The sequence below is a fragment of the Homo sapiens genome, chromosome 6, assembly GCF_000001405.40.
Source record: "Homo sapiens chromosome 6, GRCh38.p14 Primary Assembly".
Classification (NCBI taxonomy): domain Eukaryota; kingdom Metazoa; phylum Chordata; class Mammalia; order Primates; family Hominidae; genus Homo; species Homo sapiens.
Genome location: NC_000006.12, coordinates 10,783,304 through 10,801,789, shown reverse-complemented (window position 1 = coordinate 10,801,789; position 18,486 = coordinate 10,783,304). Strand labels below are relative to the sequence as shown.

Here is an 18,486-nt window from a genome sequence, read left to right as displayed (position 1 = left end):
CTAAGAGAATTAAACACAAAGTCCTAGGCATCCAGCGTATGTAATAAATTAATTTCTAGGCATATAATATCATTGGGAGAAATGCAGAAATAGCCACACCAATGATTTTCTGAGTTTTGTGGTTCAAATGAAGAACCCTGAGGTTGCAACAAGGAATCAATCTGCAATGATAAAAATTCAGACCTGCGACAGACTAGTTATGAAGGAATCTGTCATGGAAGCAAAAAGGCATCTCATGAATCATTCCACATAGTAGACTTTCCTATGCTGCCTTTACAGTTTAGGGGTGGGATTCTGGTTCACTTTATACAACAGTATCATCCCTTGCTGGGACTGGAGTGTGCAGCCTCTGGCTGCCACAAGAGGGCAGCATTGTGGCACCCAGGCTTTGTTCCTTTGTGACTACACCTGACATATCTACAGATGTATTCCAAGTCTAGGGCCTTTAAACCCAGTGTTTTTGTCTGCAAGGCTTCAATAAAAAGGCAATAATAAACTTTATTGTATTCTCATCATTTAAATATAAATTCCATGTGAAAATTACAAAAATTTATTTTGCTTTTTTTAAAATTAATCTTGAGAAAATGTTTTCTAAATGTCATCTGGAAGAACAAATGGGAAAGGATAGTCAAGATATGTTAAAACAAGAATAAGGAATTAGAGAGCGGTGATAGGGATGGACAGCTTGCCCCATCAGATATTAAAGTAATCTTTAAATTGATGATGGTAACAGTGGAAGTACTGGCATAAGAATTGACAAATAGCTGAATGTTGCAGAACATATGAGTCAGCACAAGGTAAACAAACGTGGCATCACAAAGAGGGGAGGACGGCTCAGTGGGTGATACTGGGAAAATTCATTAGCTCTTAGGGAAAAAAATAAATTGAGGTCCTTACTGCTCACCATACTTTACAACTCACAGAAGGGTTACATTTTGTTGTTGTTGTTGAGATGGAGTTTCACTCTTGTTGCCCAGGCTGGAGTGCAATGGCATGATCTCGGCTCACCGCAACCTCTGCCTCCTGGGTTCAAGTGATTCTCCCACCCTCAGCCTCCCGAGTAGCTGAGATTACAGGCATGAGCCACCACGCCTGGCTAATTTTGTATTTTTAGTAGAGACAGGGTTTCTCCATGTTGGTGAGGCTGGTCTCGACCTCCCAACCTCAGGTGATCTGCCCTCCTTGGCCTCCCAAAGTGCTGGGATTACAGGTGTGAGCCACCGCGCCCGACCAGGATTACATTTTCAAAGTGTAAAAAAAAAAGCACCCTAAACTGTTAGAAACAAAAGGAAAGCATACATGTGTATTTGATCTCAAGGTGAAAAAACACGGGTATAAAAATAATAGAAGAAACCACAAAAGGAAGATTCAAACAATTTGATTACATAAAAAGTAAAATTTTTCTCTATGTAAAAATCTTAAAATGGAAAGATAAGACAGAGAAAATTATTTTTAATTCTTAATATAATACTCCTACAGAAACACAAGAAAAATACTGAAATGTGTATGTGTATTTTCTTTTTTTTTTGAGATGGAGTTTCTGTTGCCCAGGCTGGAGTGTAGTGGCATGATCTCCACTCACTGCAACCTCCGCCTCCTGGGTTCAGGCGATTCTCCTGCCTCAGCCTCCCGAGTTGCTGGGATTGCAGGTGCCCGCCACCACGCTTGGCTTATTTTTGTATTTTTGTAGAGACCAGAGGGGTTTTTTTGTTTAGTTTTTTTTTGTTTTTGTTTTTGTTTTTGAAACGGAGTCTCGCTCCATCGCCCAGGCTGGAGTGCAGTAGCGTGATCTCGGTTCACTACACCCTCCGCCTCCCAGATACAAGCAATTCTTCTGTCTCAGCCTCCCTAGTAGCTGGGACTACAGGTGCCTGCCACCACACCTGGCTAATTTTTGTATTTTTAGTAGAGATGGGGTTTCACCTTGTTGGTCAGGCTGATCTTGAACTCCTGACCTTAGGTGATCCACCCACCTCGGCCTCCCTAAGTTCTGGGATTACAGGAATGTGCCACTGTGCCTGGCCAGAGACGGAGTTTTACCATGTTGGCCAGGCTGCTGTTGATCTCCTGACCTCAGGTGATCTGCCTGCCTTGGCCTCCCAAAGTGCTGGGATTACAGGCATGAACCACTGTGCCCAGCCGTTTAAGTGTATTTTCTAATTTTTCTTTTTTAAAATTTTTTGAAAGTTTTGTTTCTTTAAAGATGGGGTCTTACTATGTTGTCCTGACTGGTCTCAAACCCCTGGTCTCGTGCAGTTCTCCTGCCTTGGCCTCCCAAAGTGCTGAAATAATATAGGCGTGAGCCACCACACCTGGCCCATATTTTCTAATTTTTCTAAACATTCATTACCTTCATAATAAAGACATAATAAGTTTTTCAAATGTATTTTAAAAAGAAAAGTAGTAATGGGACATGAAAAAGAAACACAGGAAAAGAAATACAGATTACAAAAAATATTTTTTAAATGTTCAGTCTTTGTTTACTATTATAAAATGCAAGTAGAAATGAGATACCGTTTTTCATTTATCTCTCTTAGTAAGAGAAAGTAATTTTGTAGTATATAAAAAGAGCCTTGAAGACAATCAGAAATTATGCTCAAAGATGTTCAATTCCAATAGAAAACTGTACATTGAAAGTTAATCAAAATGTTTCCAACCATGTGCGGTGGCTCTGCAGTGCCGCACACCTGTAATCCCAGCACTTTCCGAGGCAGGCGGATCACTTGAGGTCAGGAGTTTGAGATCAGCCTGGCCAACGTGGCAGAACCCCATCTCTACTAAAAATACAAAAAATTAGCTAGGCATGGTGACACACACCTGTAATCTCAGCTACTCGGGAGGCTGAGGCAGAAGGATAGCTTGAACCCAGGAGGCGGAGGTTGCAATGAGCCAAGATCGTGCCACTGCACTCCAGCCTGGGTGACAGAGTGAGACTCTGTCTCAAAAATAAATAAATAAATAAATAAATAAATAAATAAATAAATAAATAATGTTTCTAAACTTAGGTTATGTGCATCTTTAATTTGGAATATACTGCCAGCATTAACAGTGAATTTGTAAAATAAAATTTTTAAATAATTTGGGAGAAATCTCATGCTAAAATACTATTATACAAATAATATGATTTTGTTTTTGAAAAATATATTTTATATGATGAGAAAAAAATACCGAAAAGTATAAAAAATGTTAGTCTTGGTTGTCTCTGGGTGTTAAATTTTTATTTTTGTCTTGAGAACTCTATACGTTTCTCATTCTCTACAATGATCACTGCTTCCCTTAAGTAAATAGGAAAAAATAAATGCTATTAATTTTTAAAGTTTTCCCTCTTCTTGAAGGATAGTAACTGGTATCTTAAAGTATCTTAAAAGGGAAGAGTTGGCCGGGCACAGTGGCTCATACCTGTAATCCTAGCACTTTGAGAGGCCAAGGTGGGCGGATCACGAGGTCAGGAGCTTGAGACCGGCCTGACCAACATGGTGAAACCCTGTCTCTATTAAAAATACAAAAATTAGCTGGGCATGGTGGCGTGTGCCTGTAATCCCAGCTACTCGGGAGGCTGAGGCAGGAGAATTGCTTGAACCCAGGAGGCGGATGCAGTGAGCCAAGATCGTGCCACTGCACTCCAGTCTGGGTGACAGAGCGAGACTCCATCTCAAAAAAAAAAAAAAAAAAAAAGGGAAGAGTTGTTATAAATAAAGCCTTGAAATTACAAAACACATCCTCAAAGTTTCCAGCTCCAAAATATGCATCATTAATTTAGGAATATTGACATACTAATTACTTAATGTGACTTAATTCAGAATTTGAGTACCTTCAGTGTGCTAGGCATTGAAGTATTCAAATTATGTATATTTGTGTATTCCACTGAGAATGCAAGTAACCCTTAACAAACTCTTTCTTGTGCTCTGTTTCACAGCCCTGCTTTTTAGTGGAAGTGGAAAGACCTAATTAGGGAGAGAGGTTGGTTAAGTTGTAGAATATGAAGACCATTTAAAGTACCAAGCTGCCTTCTGTTCCTCTAAAAACTGCCCTTACACATGGGAGGAGTTAACTGTTGGTCAGGGCTATGTTCCCACCTATGTGGGGACTGGCTAAAGGCAGGAGGTTCAGGGGAACAGAGCTTGACCATCTTAAGGAACCCATCCCCCCAAAAATGACCAGCTACTTTGCCCAGGTATTTGATGCCAATAAGGGAATTTTTCCATAGCTGAGCTACACAGGCTTTAGACATTCTGTAGAATATTTTTTCGGTTTTAGCCTTACTGACGTTGTGAACCAGATAACTCTTTGCTGTGGGGTGCTATTGTGTGCATTATGGGATAGTTAGCAATGTCCCTGGCCCTCTAGACACTAGACACTAGTAGCGTCCCCCAACCCCTGTCATTATAATAAGAAATGTCTCCAGACATTGCCAGATATCTCCCAAGGGGCAAACTTGCCTCCATTTGGGAAGCACTGCTATTAGATGGTGCCACCCATACACCAGGGGGTCCTTTCCCTCTCATGCAAGCAGTCAGGTGACTGATCTAGATAAAACTCAAACAGTGATCATTTTTCATAATATTTTTATATTTTCTTCCCATAAATGTCTTCTCTTTGCTGGTATACCGATGAAATAAACTTCAACAGTATGTGTTTGTTGTCCCCTCTTTAGATTTTTTTTTTATTACTAGTAGGTATATTGTTGTACTCAGGCTGAGAGTAACCCGGAATTTTACATACAGCTCTGGTTAATCATTTCAAATAATCTATATGGAAGATTTTCTTAATTCACTTTTTAATGTCTTTGAGTGTACTCTAAACCATTATTGGTGTGTAGTATTTTAGCTTGAAGTAATCACATTAATTTAGCCAATGTCTATAAATTACATTTTATTTTCACTAACAAATCTTTAAATAAATAGAACAGCTGTTTTGCTTAGATGTTATAATAACAAGTGAGCTTTCTATTTTTTCCTACTAGTACTTTTTTTTTTTTTTTTTTGAGGTGGAGTCTCGCTGTGTTGCCTAGGTTGAAGTGCAGTGGCACAATCTTGGCTCACTACAATCTCCTCCTCCCAGGTTCAAGCGATTCTCATGCCTCACCCTCCCGTATAACTGGGGTTACAGGCATCCACCAACACGCCTGGCTAATTTTTGTATTTTTAGTAGAGACTGGGTTTCACCATGTTGGTCGGGCTGGTCTTGAACTCCTGACCGCAAGTGATCCTCCCACCTCATCCTCCCAAAGTGCTAGGATTATAGGCGTGAGCCACCATGCCCAGCCACTTTTAATTTTTTAATGCAATTTATTTCTCAAATCATTTTTTTCTGGTTATCTTTTAAAAGAGGCACTGTATAGGGAATGATGGCTGCTTTCTAAATCTTTGAAGCTCATGTGGGCTAATGATAAATGCCTCGCACAGGGCCAACCATAGTTTATGTGCAATACATTTAGGTGGAACTGTTTTCCATTTGTTGTTTTCTCTGTGTTTTTATAGGCATTGAAACACCCATATTTTCAAGTTGGTCAGGTATTAGGCCCTTCGTCAAATCATCTGGAATCAAAACAGTCTTTAAATAAGCAGCTGCAACCATTAGAATCAAAGCCATCTTTAGTTGAGGTAGAGCCTAAGCCTCTGCCGGATATAATCGATCAGGTTGTTGGACAACCCCAGCCAAAAACTAGCCAGCAGCCACTGCAGCCCATTCAGCCGCCACAGAACCTGAGCGTCCAGCAACCTCCAAAGCAACAGAGTCAGGAGAAACCGCCACAAACGCTATTCCCGAGCATCGTCAAAAACATGCCAACTGTGAGTAGCCAGTCATGACACTTGCAATGAAATAGTTTGACTCGTGCAATTAAGATTTTTTTCGAGGCATTTCTAATAATGTTGGAAAAGATATAAAAGATTTTTCTTTGTTAAAGACCCTGAGTCCTCTGGTTGGAGCTTGACATGAGATCACTTAAAATTCTAATATGGTTTATAAAAAGAAAAACTTTCAGGATAAAAGTAACCAAGTTTACATGCTACAGTCTTCAGTCTTTTTTCTTTTTCTTTTTTTGAGACGGAGGTTCGCTTTTGTTGCCTAGGCTGGAGTGCAGTGGCACGACCTTAGCTCACTGCAATCTCTGACTCCTGGGTTCAAGCGATTCTCCTGCCTCAGCCTCCCAAGTAGCTGGGATTACAGACGCCCACCACCACGCCTGGATATTTTTTTGTATTTTTAGTAGAGATGGGGTTTCACCATGTTGTCCAGGCTGGTCTTGAGTTCCTGACTGCAAGTGATACACCCGCCTTGGCCTCCCAAAGTTCTGGGATTACAGGCATGAGCCACTGCACCTGGGCTTTTCTTTTTTATTTCTTGAGACGGAGTTTCACTCTATTTGCCCAGGCTGGAGTGCAATGGCACGATCTTGGCTCACTGCAACCTCCACCTCCCAGGTTCAAGCAGTTCTCTTGCCTCAGCTTCCTGAGTGGCTGGGATTATAGGCACCCACCACCACACCCAGCTAATTTTTGTATTTTTAGTGGAGACCATGTTGGCCAGGCTGGTCTCGAACTCCTGACCTCAGATGATCCACCCATCTCGGCCTCCCAAAGTGCTGGGATTACAGGCGTGAGCCACCAAGCCCGGCCTAAAATTCTTTCAATGCAGAAGAATTCAAAGAAAGAATTTAAAAGAATCGGGTACTCCAGAGTACTGATCCTAAATCTTAAGAATTTTTAACAGTACTTTCATTTTACAGTGTTCTTAAATGCTAAGGAACATGGAGAGAATGGGTTTTTATTTATTATTATTATTATTATTATTTTGAGACAGAGTTTTGCTCTTGTTGCCCAGGCTGGAGTGCAATGGTGTGATCTCAGCTCACCACAACCTCCACCTCCCAGGTTCAAGCAATCCTCCTGCCTCAGCCTCCTGAGTAGCTCGGATTACAGGCATGTGCCACCATGCCCAGCTAATTTTGTATTTTTAGTAGAGATGGGGTTTCTCCATGTTGGTCCGGCTGGTCTTGAACTCCTGACCTCAGGTGATCCACCCTCCTTGGCCTCCCAAAGTGCTTGGATTACAGGCCTGAGCCACCGCACCTGGCCAGAATAGGTTTTTAAAGTGTCAGGCATAGTATAAAACTTTTTCTTCCATCTTTTGTTCAGCTCCAGGAGCTCTTCAGTTGCTGTAGTATTTTAGCTGTCCCACTGGGTATACACTCCCAAATGTGTTTGCATTATGGCATTTTAGGATGGAAATCGGTCTTATACAGCACTGTATCTATTTCCTTCCAGTCCCCAACTGCCCCACCAACCTAGATAAGCAAGGCCTCCTCGTCCCCCAATAGCACTAATCACATTCTAACATACTGTTAATTACTTCTTATGTTTATTGTTTATTTGTCTCTTCCTCTGGAATGCAGCAAGCTCAGTGAGGTCAGGAATGTTTGTGTGTTTATCAGTACAGCCTCAGCACCCCGACCAGTGCCTGCCACATGGTAGATTCTCAGTAGATATTTGTTCAGTGAATGAAGGAATGAATAATTGCCCACATGACTTGTAAACCACCTCTGGGGTCCTGGGGAGTCCACTTTTATCTTTGGAACAGTTCTGAATATTAGAAAGTTCTTCCTTAATACTGGGTAAAATCTGGTTTTCTAGCTTTTAATGAAGGCTAATCACTTTTCTAGAAAGGCAGCCTTTTAGATATTTGAAAATAGCCCTTATATTATCTGCCCTTTTCTCTAGAGAAACTTCTCCAATTCCCTTAAGGGCTCTGCATATAACACCATTCACCAATGACTGATAACTCTCAGTTCCTATTATGAATGTGTCTTTAAGTCCCCTCTCATCTTGCTTTCCACTTAGAATGAGGTTGCCAGAGCTAGAGGCAGACAGCAGGCAGGGAATATAGAGCAGGGCGAATCACCTCCGACATTCTAAACCATATGTGCACTCGTGCCACCAACGATGACAGTCCTCCCCATGACCCCTTGGAAGATGCATCAATTGTTGACTCATATTGTGAGGGAAGGAAAGGAAGTTAATATTTATTGAGTAGCTTCCAAGTGCCATGCATATGCGAGGGACGCTGTGTGCATTCTCTAAGTTAAAGAGAATAACCTAGCCCCCAGCCCCGCCACACACACATTTTTATATAGGTGAGTTCCAGAGCTGGGATTAAGTACTGTGTTAACTAAAATTTCTAAGTATACCTGTTTTTTCACAAATGCTTCTCCTAAATTGCATATTCTGTACCTCTGACTTGTGTATTTCATCTCTAGGATTCAAAAAGTTGCAAGATCTCTTACCTCTTCAATTTCTAATTATTTTTGAATCTGTATTTTTTCTTCTCAGTTTACCCATTCTGCCCAGCTTGTTGCCAGCTGTGTATTTGTTTAGTTGTCTGTTTTGCTCCTGAATCTTCATGATGAATAGAACGACCGTGAGATCTTGGGCAGGCTACTAGAACCTTTCTCTAGATTGACGTTGATCCATTTGTCAGTACTGTTGGTCAAGTTCTTCAACTATGTGCTGATCCCCTTTGCTGCCTTCACCCACTGGGCTGAAGTCCACATACACTACACTGAATGAATTCATTGTTTGCCTTTTATGAAAAAGTGTGGTCTATATGAGCTATCACTGTTTTTCCTTAGTGCTCACAAACATCCCCTTTAATAATTGATTTTAGAATCTTTGCCCTCATCCTCTACCAAACTTACTGATGTGGAGTTTGCAAAAATAAATCTTCTACTTTATTAAAAGTATTATATTTGCCCCTTTCCAGTCTTCTCAGCCATACCAGATTCTTGCATATCACTGATATTGTTCAGCAGTGTTCAGGATCAGTACCCTAAAATACAATTCAACAGAAGGGAGGCTCAAACTCAGCTAAGGGTAACCTTTTATTAACCCTACTCATCTGGAGCTTAACATTTTTTTTATTCTCTTTATTCTGGAGATTGTTGTGCCTGGCAGAGAAAGTAATAGTGTAGAGAAGCTGGCAAATACTGCTTTTTGTTATCATCCATCACTATCACTGTAATACCGTCAGCTTCAAGCAATAGCATGTCCATTCTTTAAGAATCTCCCTGCACCCAACATAGGTGTATTTTCTGAAAATTTTCCATGCTCTCTTCCCTAGTTTTGAGTTGCCTTTTGGATTTTTCTGTTTATGTGCCCCCAAACCACTTTCTGTAAATTTGTATAAAACCAATTCATTGTGTGCTCTAAGCCAGGACTTCTTTCCCATTCCTTATTTCTGTTAATGATGCCTCCATTCTGTGACAGTCAGACTCATACTTCCCTCTCTGTTTCCGTTAGGATTACATTCAGGGACTTATGACAAAAACTCGACCACTGTGGCTTAAACAATAGGGATTGTTGTTCTCAGATAACAAGAAATCGGGTGGTGGGTAGCTGGAGCTCATGAAGCTTGCAGAGGAGGCAGGCTGCTGCTGGCTTCCCGCTCCACCACCCTGAGCAGGTGGCTTTCATTCCTGTGGCCACAGGATGACTGGTGTTCCTTTGGATGTCGTGTCTGCATTCAAGGAGGGGGAAGAGTAAAAGATGCTGGCACATGCCAGCCTTAGTGTCCTTCTCATTAAGGCTGTCCCCACTTAAGGAGGACACTAAGGCTTTGAGAAGTTAAGTCACTTGCCCAAAGAGCATAGCCAAGTCTCAGGTTTCCAGATCCTTCCTGTCAATGAAGAGTCAACTCAGATCCTAAATATTCAAGTCTCTCACCAACCTAGTTCACAGAGATCTCTCCTCTGAACACCTATCATATTTTTGGCATGTACCGCCCATTTTTGTTCATGCTTTTAAATGTGTATATATGTTATGCCCTTACATGTATGGAACGCTCCTTGAGAATGGGGACTGTTAGTGTCTTACATAGATAGTAGCTTGTGCATGAAAGGCATTCAGTACATGATTAAAGATTATGATGACTGATTTTCCACCACAGAAGCCAAATGGCACACTGAGTCATAAAAGTGGTAGGAGGCGTTGGGGTCAGACTATCTTCAAGTCTGGAGATAGCTGGGAAGAGTTGGAGGACTATGATTTCGGAGCCTCCCATTCCAAGAAGCCAAGCATGGGTGTTTTTAAAGAAAAAAGGAAAAAAGATTCTCCATTTCGGTAAGATTTCAAATTCCTCAGAAAAATATTTTTGCCATGCATTAACTTTATTTTACTCATTAAATATAAATGCATGTAGACCCTAAAAGAAGAAAAGTTTGCTTAACAGGCCAGGTGTAGTGGCTCAGGCCTGTAATCCCAGCACTTTGGGAGGCCGAGGCAGGTTGATCACTTGAGGCCAGGAGTTTGAAACTAGCCTGGCTGACATGGTGAAACCCCGTCTCTACTAAAAATACAAAAATTAGCTGGGTGTGGTGGTGTGCACCTGTAATCCCAGCTACTCGGGAAGCTGAGACATGAGAATTTCTTGAACCTGGGAGGTGAATGTTGCAGTGAGCCAAGATTGTGCCATTGCATTCCAGCCTGGGTAACAAAGTGAGACTCTGTCTCAAAAAAAAGAAAAAAAGAAAAAAATTTGCTTAATATTGGTGCCTTCCACAAAACACAAATCTTTCCACATACTTCTGAAAAGGTAAGAATCTTCTCACAGTAACAGTTCTCAGTATTAACAGATGAGTGGGGTGTGTGTGTCTGTGTGTGTGTGTAGAGAGTGTGTCAGTCCGTTTTTACATTGCTATAAAGAATGTGTTGGCCCATGGTTCTGCAGGTTGTACAGGAAGCATAGTGCCAGCATGTGCTTCTGGTGAGGGCTTTTGGAAACTTAGAATAATGGCAGAAGGTGGCAGAGGATCCAGCCTGTCACATGGCAAGAGAGGGAGCAAGAGAGAGAGGGAGGAGGTCCCAGACTCTTTTAAACGATCAAGTCTTGCATGAACTCAGAGTGAGAACTCACTCGTTACCGCAAGGATAGTACCAAGCCATTTGTGAGGGATCTGCTCCCATGGTCCAAACACCTCCCGCCAGGCCCCACCTCAAAACTGGGGATTACATTTCAACATGAGATTTAGAGAGGACAGATGTCCAAAACGTATCAGAGGGGATCTTGTTCCATTTTTACGATGCTCTTGTGAATGACAATCATTATTCCCATTTGAAATTGACATGCCTCGTTGCAGGAAGTAGAGCACCACGTGCCAAGTTAACAGCTTCTTCTGATGGTGTTAAGATTTCACTAACTGCCTCCTCGCTATTCTAAACTTTTTTCAATCATTTTCTGAGCCTTTTCTGGAAGTTTAATATCTCTAGCAGTTCCTTTACTTTTTATAAGTGAGGTCATCCTTAGTACATTATTCGACTTTGAAGTTAGGATGGGTTAAGTTTTGGTGAATATTTTGGAAAGATACTTTCTTTTTTTTTTGTTTTCCTCTTTGAAACAGAAGAATAGAAAGAACAAGTGTGTTATGAGTCAGGAAAACTTATACAAGTAGCTATTTGGCATGACATAGTATGGAAGTCTTCACTTTGGAGCACGAGGAATCTCTAAGGAGTACATATGCTTGGATAATTCTTTTTTTGCTTGGATAACTCTTATGCAATCCGTTTCCAGGTCTTCACATTCCATAGGTACTCTTTCCTAAAAATACATGAACTGGAGGAAAAGCCCACTCAAGTCCTCTTCCACTCTAGGCAAGAAAGTCACACCTCTCAGTTATTTCAACTCTTACATGGCATAGGGTTACTAAATAAAGGGACAAATCAGAAAACTGGCTTTCTGTTGGTTCTTGTCTTACAGAAATTGGGTACAGTAGTCCCCTGAATCTGCAGTTTCACCTTCCATGGTTTCATTTACCTGCAGTACGGTGCAATAAGATATTTTGGGCTGGGTGCGGAGGCTCAATGCCTGTAATCCCAGCACTTTGGGAGGCTGAGGTAGGTGGATCACCTGAGTTCAGGAGATTGAGACCAGCCTGGCCAACATGGTGAAACCTCGTCTTTACTAAAAATACAAAAATTAGCTGGGTGTGGTGGCGGGCGCCTGTAATCCCAGCTACTCAGCAGGCTGAGGCAGGAGAAACTTGAACCCAGGAGGCAGAGGTTGTGGTGAGCCGAGATTGTGCCACTGCACTCCAGCCTGAGTGAGAGTGAGACTCCGTCTCAAAACAAAAAAAAGATATTTTTGAGAGCACATTCACATAACTTTTATTACAATATATTGTTTTAATTGTTCTATTTTAGTATTAGTTATTAATGTTAATCTCTTGCTGTGCCCAACTTATAAATTAAACTTCCTCATAGGTATCTATGCACATACATATAGGAAAAGATGGGCTGTATAGGGTTTGATACTATCTGTGGTTTCAGGCATCCTCTGGGGGTCTTAGAACATATCCCCCACACGTAATGGGGGCTACTGTATTTTAGCCCATGTTGGAAAGCATGGTGATTTGGAAACACTGAAGCACCAGGCGTTAGTGATGTGTATTCTTTCAAATATACTAAAATGCTCTGTTTCCTCTTTGAAACAGAAGAATAGGAAGAACAGTTGTGTTATGAGTCAGGAAAACTTATCCAGGAGCTCTTTGGCATGGTATAGTATGGAAGTCTTCACTTTGGGGCACGAGGAATCTCTAAGGAGTGCATATGCTTGGATAATTCTTTTTTTTTTTTTTTTCTTTTTTGCTTGGATAACTCTTAGGCAATCCGTTTCCAGGTCTTCACATTCCATAGGTACTCCTTCCTAATCTGTGTGTTTAATCCATGGGTTTTCAAAACACATGGATTAAAATTTTACTTATTTGAGGATCAGAGTGTATTATGGATAAGGTAGTTAAAACTTATTTTATCAAGCCATACCATGAAATACTCCAATTGCAGTCAATCCTCACAATATTTCATCTTATAAAATACTGTTTCTATCTGCTGTTAACAAGAAATAAGGAACAAATTTATGATGAAAAATTATAGATGTCTATTTAAAGATGTGCAGGGAGTTACATAATTTAAAAAACAATTATTTGGGTCTAGGAACAGAAGAGTTTGAAGACCACTGATGTAGTATATGGGAGATTTGAAACATTTTTTTTCTTTTTTTTCTTTTTGAGACGGAATGTCGCTTCATTGCCCAGGCTGGAGTGCAGTGATGTGATCTCGGCTCACTGCAACCTCTGCCTCCAGGGTTCAAGCAATTCTCCTGTCTCAGTCTCCTTAGTAGCTCAGATTGTTACAGGCGTGTGCCACCACGCCTGGCTAATTTTTTGTATTTTTAATAGAGACAGTGTTTCACCATGTTGGCCAGGCTAGTCTTGAACTCCTGACCTCAGGTGATCCACCTGCCTCGGCCTCCAAAAGTGTTGGGATTACAGGCATGAGCCACCGCACCTGGCGACTTGAAAACATTTTTTAAAACCCATGTCATTCTGATTTCAGCTAAATTTTATTCATAATTATTTATAATTATTCATAATTTATTCATAAATTTTAGTCATATATTTTTGAGGATGGTAGAGGTTTGAATCAAAACCTATAGTTAAGATCAAGGTTGTGGCTGTTCATGGTGGCTTATACTTATAAACCTAGCACTTTAGGAGGCCGAGGTAGGTGGGTTGCTTGAGCTTAGGAGTTTGAGACCAGCCTGGGCAATATGGCAAAACTCCATCTCTACAAAAAAATACAAAAATTAGCCAGATGTGGTAGCCCACACCTGTAGTTCGAGCTACTCAGGAGGCTGAGGTGAGAGGATTGCTTGAGCTTGGAAGGCCGAGCCACTGCACCCCAGCCTGGGCAACAGAGCGAGACACTGTCTCAAAAAATCAAAAAAAGATCAAGGTTGTAGTCTATATACCTGTTTCTAGCAAGGGAACAATTAGTAAATTTCTTCAACATTAATTATCCCTTTTCTCTTGAAATTCTTTAGAAAAACTGTATGACAGTGAATTTTTCATGTGGGTATTTCTTCTACTTTTTTTTTTTTTTTTTGAGACAGTCTCGCTCTGTCACCCAGGCTGGAGTGCAGTGGCGCGATCTCAGCTCACTGCAAGCTCCGCCTCCTGGGTTCACGCCATTCTCCTGCCTCAGCCTCCCGAGTAGCTGGGACTGCAGGTGCCCACCACCACACTCGGCTAATTTTTTGTATTTTTTTTAGTAGAGACAGGGTTTCACCATGTTAGCCAGGATGGTCTCGATCTCCCGACCTCGTGATCCACCTGCCTCAGCCTCCCAAAGTGCTGGGATTACAGGCGTGAGCCACTGCGCCCAGCCATTTCTTCTACATTTTTATTTTTTGGTATCTTTCAATGGTCTTGTACAATTCTAGGCATATGGTTATTATTATGATCATCATTATTATTAATATACTACCATCTGTTAAGCTCCTGCCTAAACTTTATAATTTTCATACTTCAGTAAAAATATCTGCAGAGTAGGATGCTGAGACTTGGATAGGCTGGGTTTCTTGCCCAAGATCAGGTAAGGATTAATTCAAATCCAGGTCTTTCTCTCTTCTACCCCACACTGCTTCTTTAGCAATAGGAGCTGAATTGGTGAATTGTTGGATTTGTGAATAGGAGCTGAATTGGTGAATTGGTGGATTTGTGAATAGGAGGTGAATTGGTGAATTAGCGGAGTGGTGAACAGGAGGTGAACTGGTGAATTAGCGGAGTGGTGAACAGGAGGTGAACTGGTGAATTAGCGGAGTGGTGAATAGGAGGTGAACTGGTGCATTAGCGGAGTGGTGAATAGGAGGTGAACTGGTGAAGTAGCGGAGTGGTGAATAGGAGGTGAACTGGTGCATTAGCGGAGTGGTGAATAGGAGGTGAACTGGTGCATTAGCGGAGTGGTGAATAGGAGGTGAACTGGTGCATTAGCGGAGTGGTGAATAGGAGGTGAACTGGTGCATTAGCGGAGTGGTGAATAGGAGGTGAACTGGTGAATTAGCGGAGTGGTGAATAGGAGGTGAACTGGTGAATTAGCGGAGTGGTGAATAGGAGGTGAACTGGTGAATTAGCGGAGTGGTGAATAGGAGGTGAACTGGTGAATTAGTGGAGTGGTGAATAGGAGGTGAACTGGTGCATTAGTGGAGTGGTGAATAGGAGGTGAACTGGTGCATTAGTGGAGTGGTGAATAGGAGGTGAACTGGTGCATTAGTGGAGTGGTGAATAGGAGGTGAACTGGTGAATTAGTGGAGTGGTGAATAGGAGGTGAACTGGTGCATTAGTGGAGTGGTGAATAGGAGGTGAACTGGTGAATTAGTGGAGTGGTGAATAGGAGGTGAACTGGTGAATTAGTGGAGTGGTGAATAGGAGGTGAACTGGTGAATTAGTGGAGTGGTGAATAGGAGGTGAACTGGTGCATTAGTGGAGTGGTGAATAGGAGGTGAACTGGTGCATTAGTGGAGTGGTGAATAGGAGGTGAACTGGTGCATTAGTGGAGTGGTGAATAGGAGGTGAACTGGTGCATTGAACAGACCCTGCCATCCCCTGCTTGGTCTCTCAGGCAGCCAGGGCCTCCCCATAAAGAATACAGAGTACCAAATACTAACATGTATACCTTTTATTTAATGGTTGTCTTATTTTTTAAATTATTATTATGATTGAGATGGAGCTTTGCTCTTGTCGCCCAGGCTGAGTGCAGTGGTGCGATCTTGGCTCACTGCAACCTCTGCCTCCCGGGTTCAAGTGATCCTCCTGTCTCAGCCTCCCAAGTAGCTGGGATTACAGGTGGCCGCCACCATGCCCAGCTAATTTTTGTATTTTTAGTAGAGACAGGGTTTCACCATGTTGGCCAGGCTGGTCTCAAACTCCTGATCTCAGGTGATCCACCTGCCTTTGCCTCTCAAAGTGCTAGAATTACAGGCGTGAGCCACTGCACCCAGCCTGGTTGTCTTCTTAAAAGTGAACAAAAAGCAAGATATTTATATTTAGATTTATACTTGTATTTATATTCAGTAGATGTTTACTAAATACCTAGTTGGAATTAAGCCTCTCTTCAACTCATCAAATATATGGCAACAGAAATAAGACCTCCAGAGGACTATAACACATGACAAGTGTGTGCATTTAGTGCCACTAGTGACAGCTGCAAGGAGCTCTGGGAGTTCTGTCTATGGGCAGAGATCCCTCTGATGAGGACAGAAAAGTCTTTTTAGAGTGAGTAGTTTTGGGAATGGGTAGAATTTCAGTTAGTGATATAACAGCAGTGGGCTCAGGGGAAGGGAAAGTTGCCAGAAATGGCGGGACTGTTCCCATTGAAGCAGACGCACCTGTGCCTAGAACTGCCCCCAAGCAGGTGGCCAGCAGTTCAAAGGGCCACCCAAGTGAGTATCCATTTCCAAGGGAGCCAACTTGGTGAGTAGGGTTTGGTAGCATGAATTTCTAGGTGGAAACCATGGATGCTTGGAGTTAACAAGTGATGGAAATTGGGCAGTATATTCAGGCCCCAGCAAAGAAGGAGCCCAGTCGGAGGGTGGTGGGGAGAAGGTTGGTCGTGGAGGGCTCATTACAGCACACAGAGGGATGGGCAGCAACACAAAGCAATGGCCGCCTCACGCACTGCTGCCTGGTCAAACAGGCCTCAGGGACAGGCCTCGGGAATGAGACAGAACTAAGCCTCGAAGCAGAAAGTCCTCAGTCCGTACACAGAAACAGGACTGTGGGAGTTAGGGACCAACAGGCAGAGAGTCAGTCTTAATACTAACAAACACCACTAAACAGCTAGCGAGGTGCTTAGCCACTGCACAAGTCTGTTCTGGCTGAGACACAGGCATGTCTCCACAAATACCTATTTTCTGTGCCTGACACTAGGGTGACGGGAAATTGTATACGGGAGCTTTTCTAGCACTTCTTTCCCCATTTCAGTTTTTTAGGCCATCCAAACCATGCCCCAAACAACCTCATTGATTGTAAATTATTTTAGTCAACAGGTGAAGATGGCTGTTATTTCCCTCTCAGCACACCAGTTTCCCACGTTATGAATCCAACTGCAGCCGTTGCAGGACAGATAGAAACATGTTACACACAAGTAAATTGCTGCTCAGTTATAAAGGTTCCTGTCACATACTGGTATCAGAAATGAGTCTGTGCACGACCCAATATCTACGCGGGTGGAGGGGAAGTTGTCACTTAGCCAAAAGACTGATGGAAACCATTTAAGTGAGGTCAGATTGACTGGCTTAGGAAGATGTGCAGAGGGTGGGCGAGATGTGCAGAGGGTGGGCGAGATCCTCTCGTTGTTCGTGCTGTAATGCTACCTTTCATTGGCTTTCAAGGCTTCCAGAGCCAGTACCCTCAGGCTCCAACCACTCGACAGGGGAAAACAAGAGCTTACCTGCTGTTACTTCCCTAAAATCTGATTCCGAATTGTCAACTGCTCCAACCTCTAAACAGTACTACTTGAAACAATCAAGATATCTTCCAGGTAAGTAGAGCAAAGAAAATGTTTGCTGCTAACTAGAGTATAGATAGGTCAGGTTCAAGTGTCTTGGAATCTCCAAAGAAAGGGCAGCAGTGAAGCAAAAAATCTAATCACAGAGCTCTTTGGTAGCTCAGTCTGTCGCCAAGGACTTTTCTGGACCTCCTGTTTCTACCACTAGTAGAATTCTGCTCAAGAAATGCTTAGGAGCAAAAATCAAGATGATGAATATGCTTCCAGAAAACACCAACCCCCACCCCCCACCAAAGCTATGCATTCAGTAAATCCTAAATTTTATTAAGCCAATTCTATGCCCCCATTACAACTTTTTATAAAATGTAGATTTTCAAATACTCTTTCCTAAATGATCTGGTGTACATTTTTTTGTTTGTTTGTTTTTTTGTTTTTTTTGAGACAGATTCTCGCTCTGTCGCCCAGGCTGGAGTGCAGTGGCGTGATCTCGGCTCACTGCAACCTCCACCTCCCAGGTTTAAGCCATTCTCCTGCCTCAGCCTCCCGAGTAGCTGGGACTACAGGTGCGAGCCACCACGCCTGGCTAATTTTTGCATTTTTAGTAGAGATGGTGTTTCACCGTGTTAGCCGGGATGGTCTCGATCTCCTGACCTTGTGATCCGCCCGCCTTGGCCTCCCAAAGTGCTGAGATGACAGGCGTGAGCCACTGTGCCCAGCCAATCTGGTGTATATTTTTAAAAGATTCTGCCTGCTCGGAAGAGCATGCTGGGAACTCAAGAGAGGCAAAGACACTGGCTAAGAGGCCACTGCTTATGTCCGGATGGGGTGGGGTAATGTAAATGGCTGGTTCCAGAGTGGAAGTGGCAGAGGTACAAGTGGGCAAAACCTAGACATGTTTTGGTACTGGAACCAATAGGACTTGTGGGTAGATTGGTGGAAAGAATTAGTGGCAGCATCTGAGGTTTTGACTTGGGAACTGGGTGAACGGTGGTGACTTTAGCTGAGAAAGGGAAGATTAGAAGAGGAGAAGATTGTGGAAGTAGAGAATGGAGAGCTGAGTGCGGGATGCCTGTTAAACATCTGAATTGATCCATCTAATGGGCGCCTGGGTATATGAATCTGGAGCTTGGGAGAAAGATCTGGACAGACAGTG

At 42.4% G+C, this 18,486-nt stretch overlaps 1 protein-coding gene across 15 annotated transcripts in view; it reads left to right on the top strand.

Annotated features, from left to right (window-relative positions):
- MAK (male germ cell associated kinase) overlaps positions 1 to 18,486 on the top strand; it is a 75,817-nt gene that overhangs the window by 36,750 nt on the left and 20,581 nt on the right. For 11 of the 15 annotated variants that reach the window (XR_926215.4, NR_134936.2, NM_001377262.1 and 8 more), the window contains 3 exons: positions 5,481 to 5,792; positions 9,943 to 10,115; positions 17,218 to 17,366. Coding sequence is in view for 9 of the 15 variants with exons in the window: in NM_001377262.1 (NP_001364191.1) it covers positions 5,481 to 5,792; positions 9,943 to 10,115; positions 17,218 to 17,366 (634 nt within the window). In the remaining 6 variants the exon portion in view is untranslated. Of the gene's footprint in view, positions 1 to 5,480; positions 5,793 to 9,942; positions 17,107 to 17,217; positions 17,367 to 18,486 lie in introns of those variants that run through there. The other 4 variants (XR_926220.4, XR_001743419.3, NR_134935.2 and 1 more) reach the window with 3 other exon arrangements.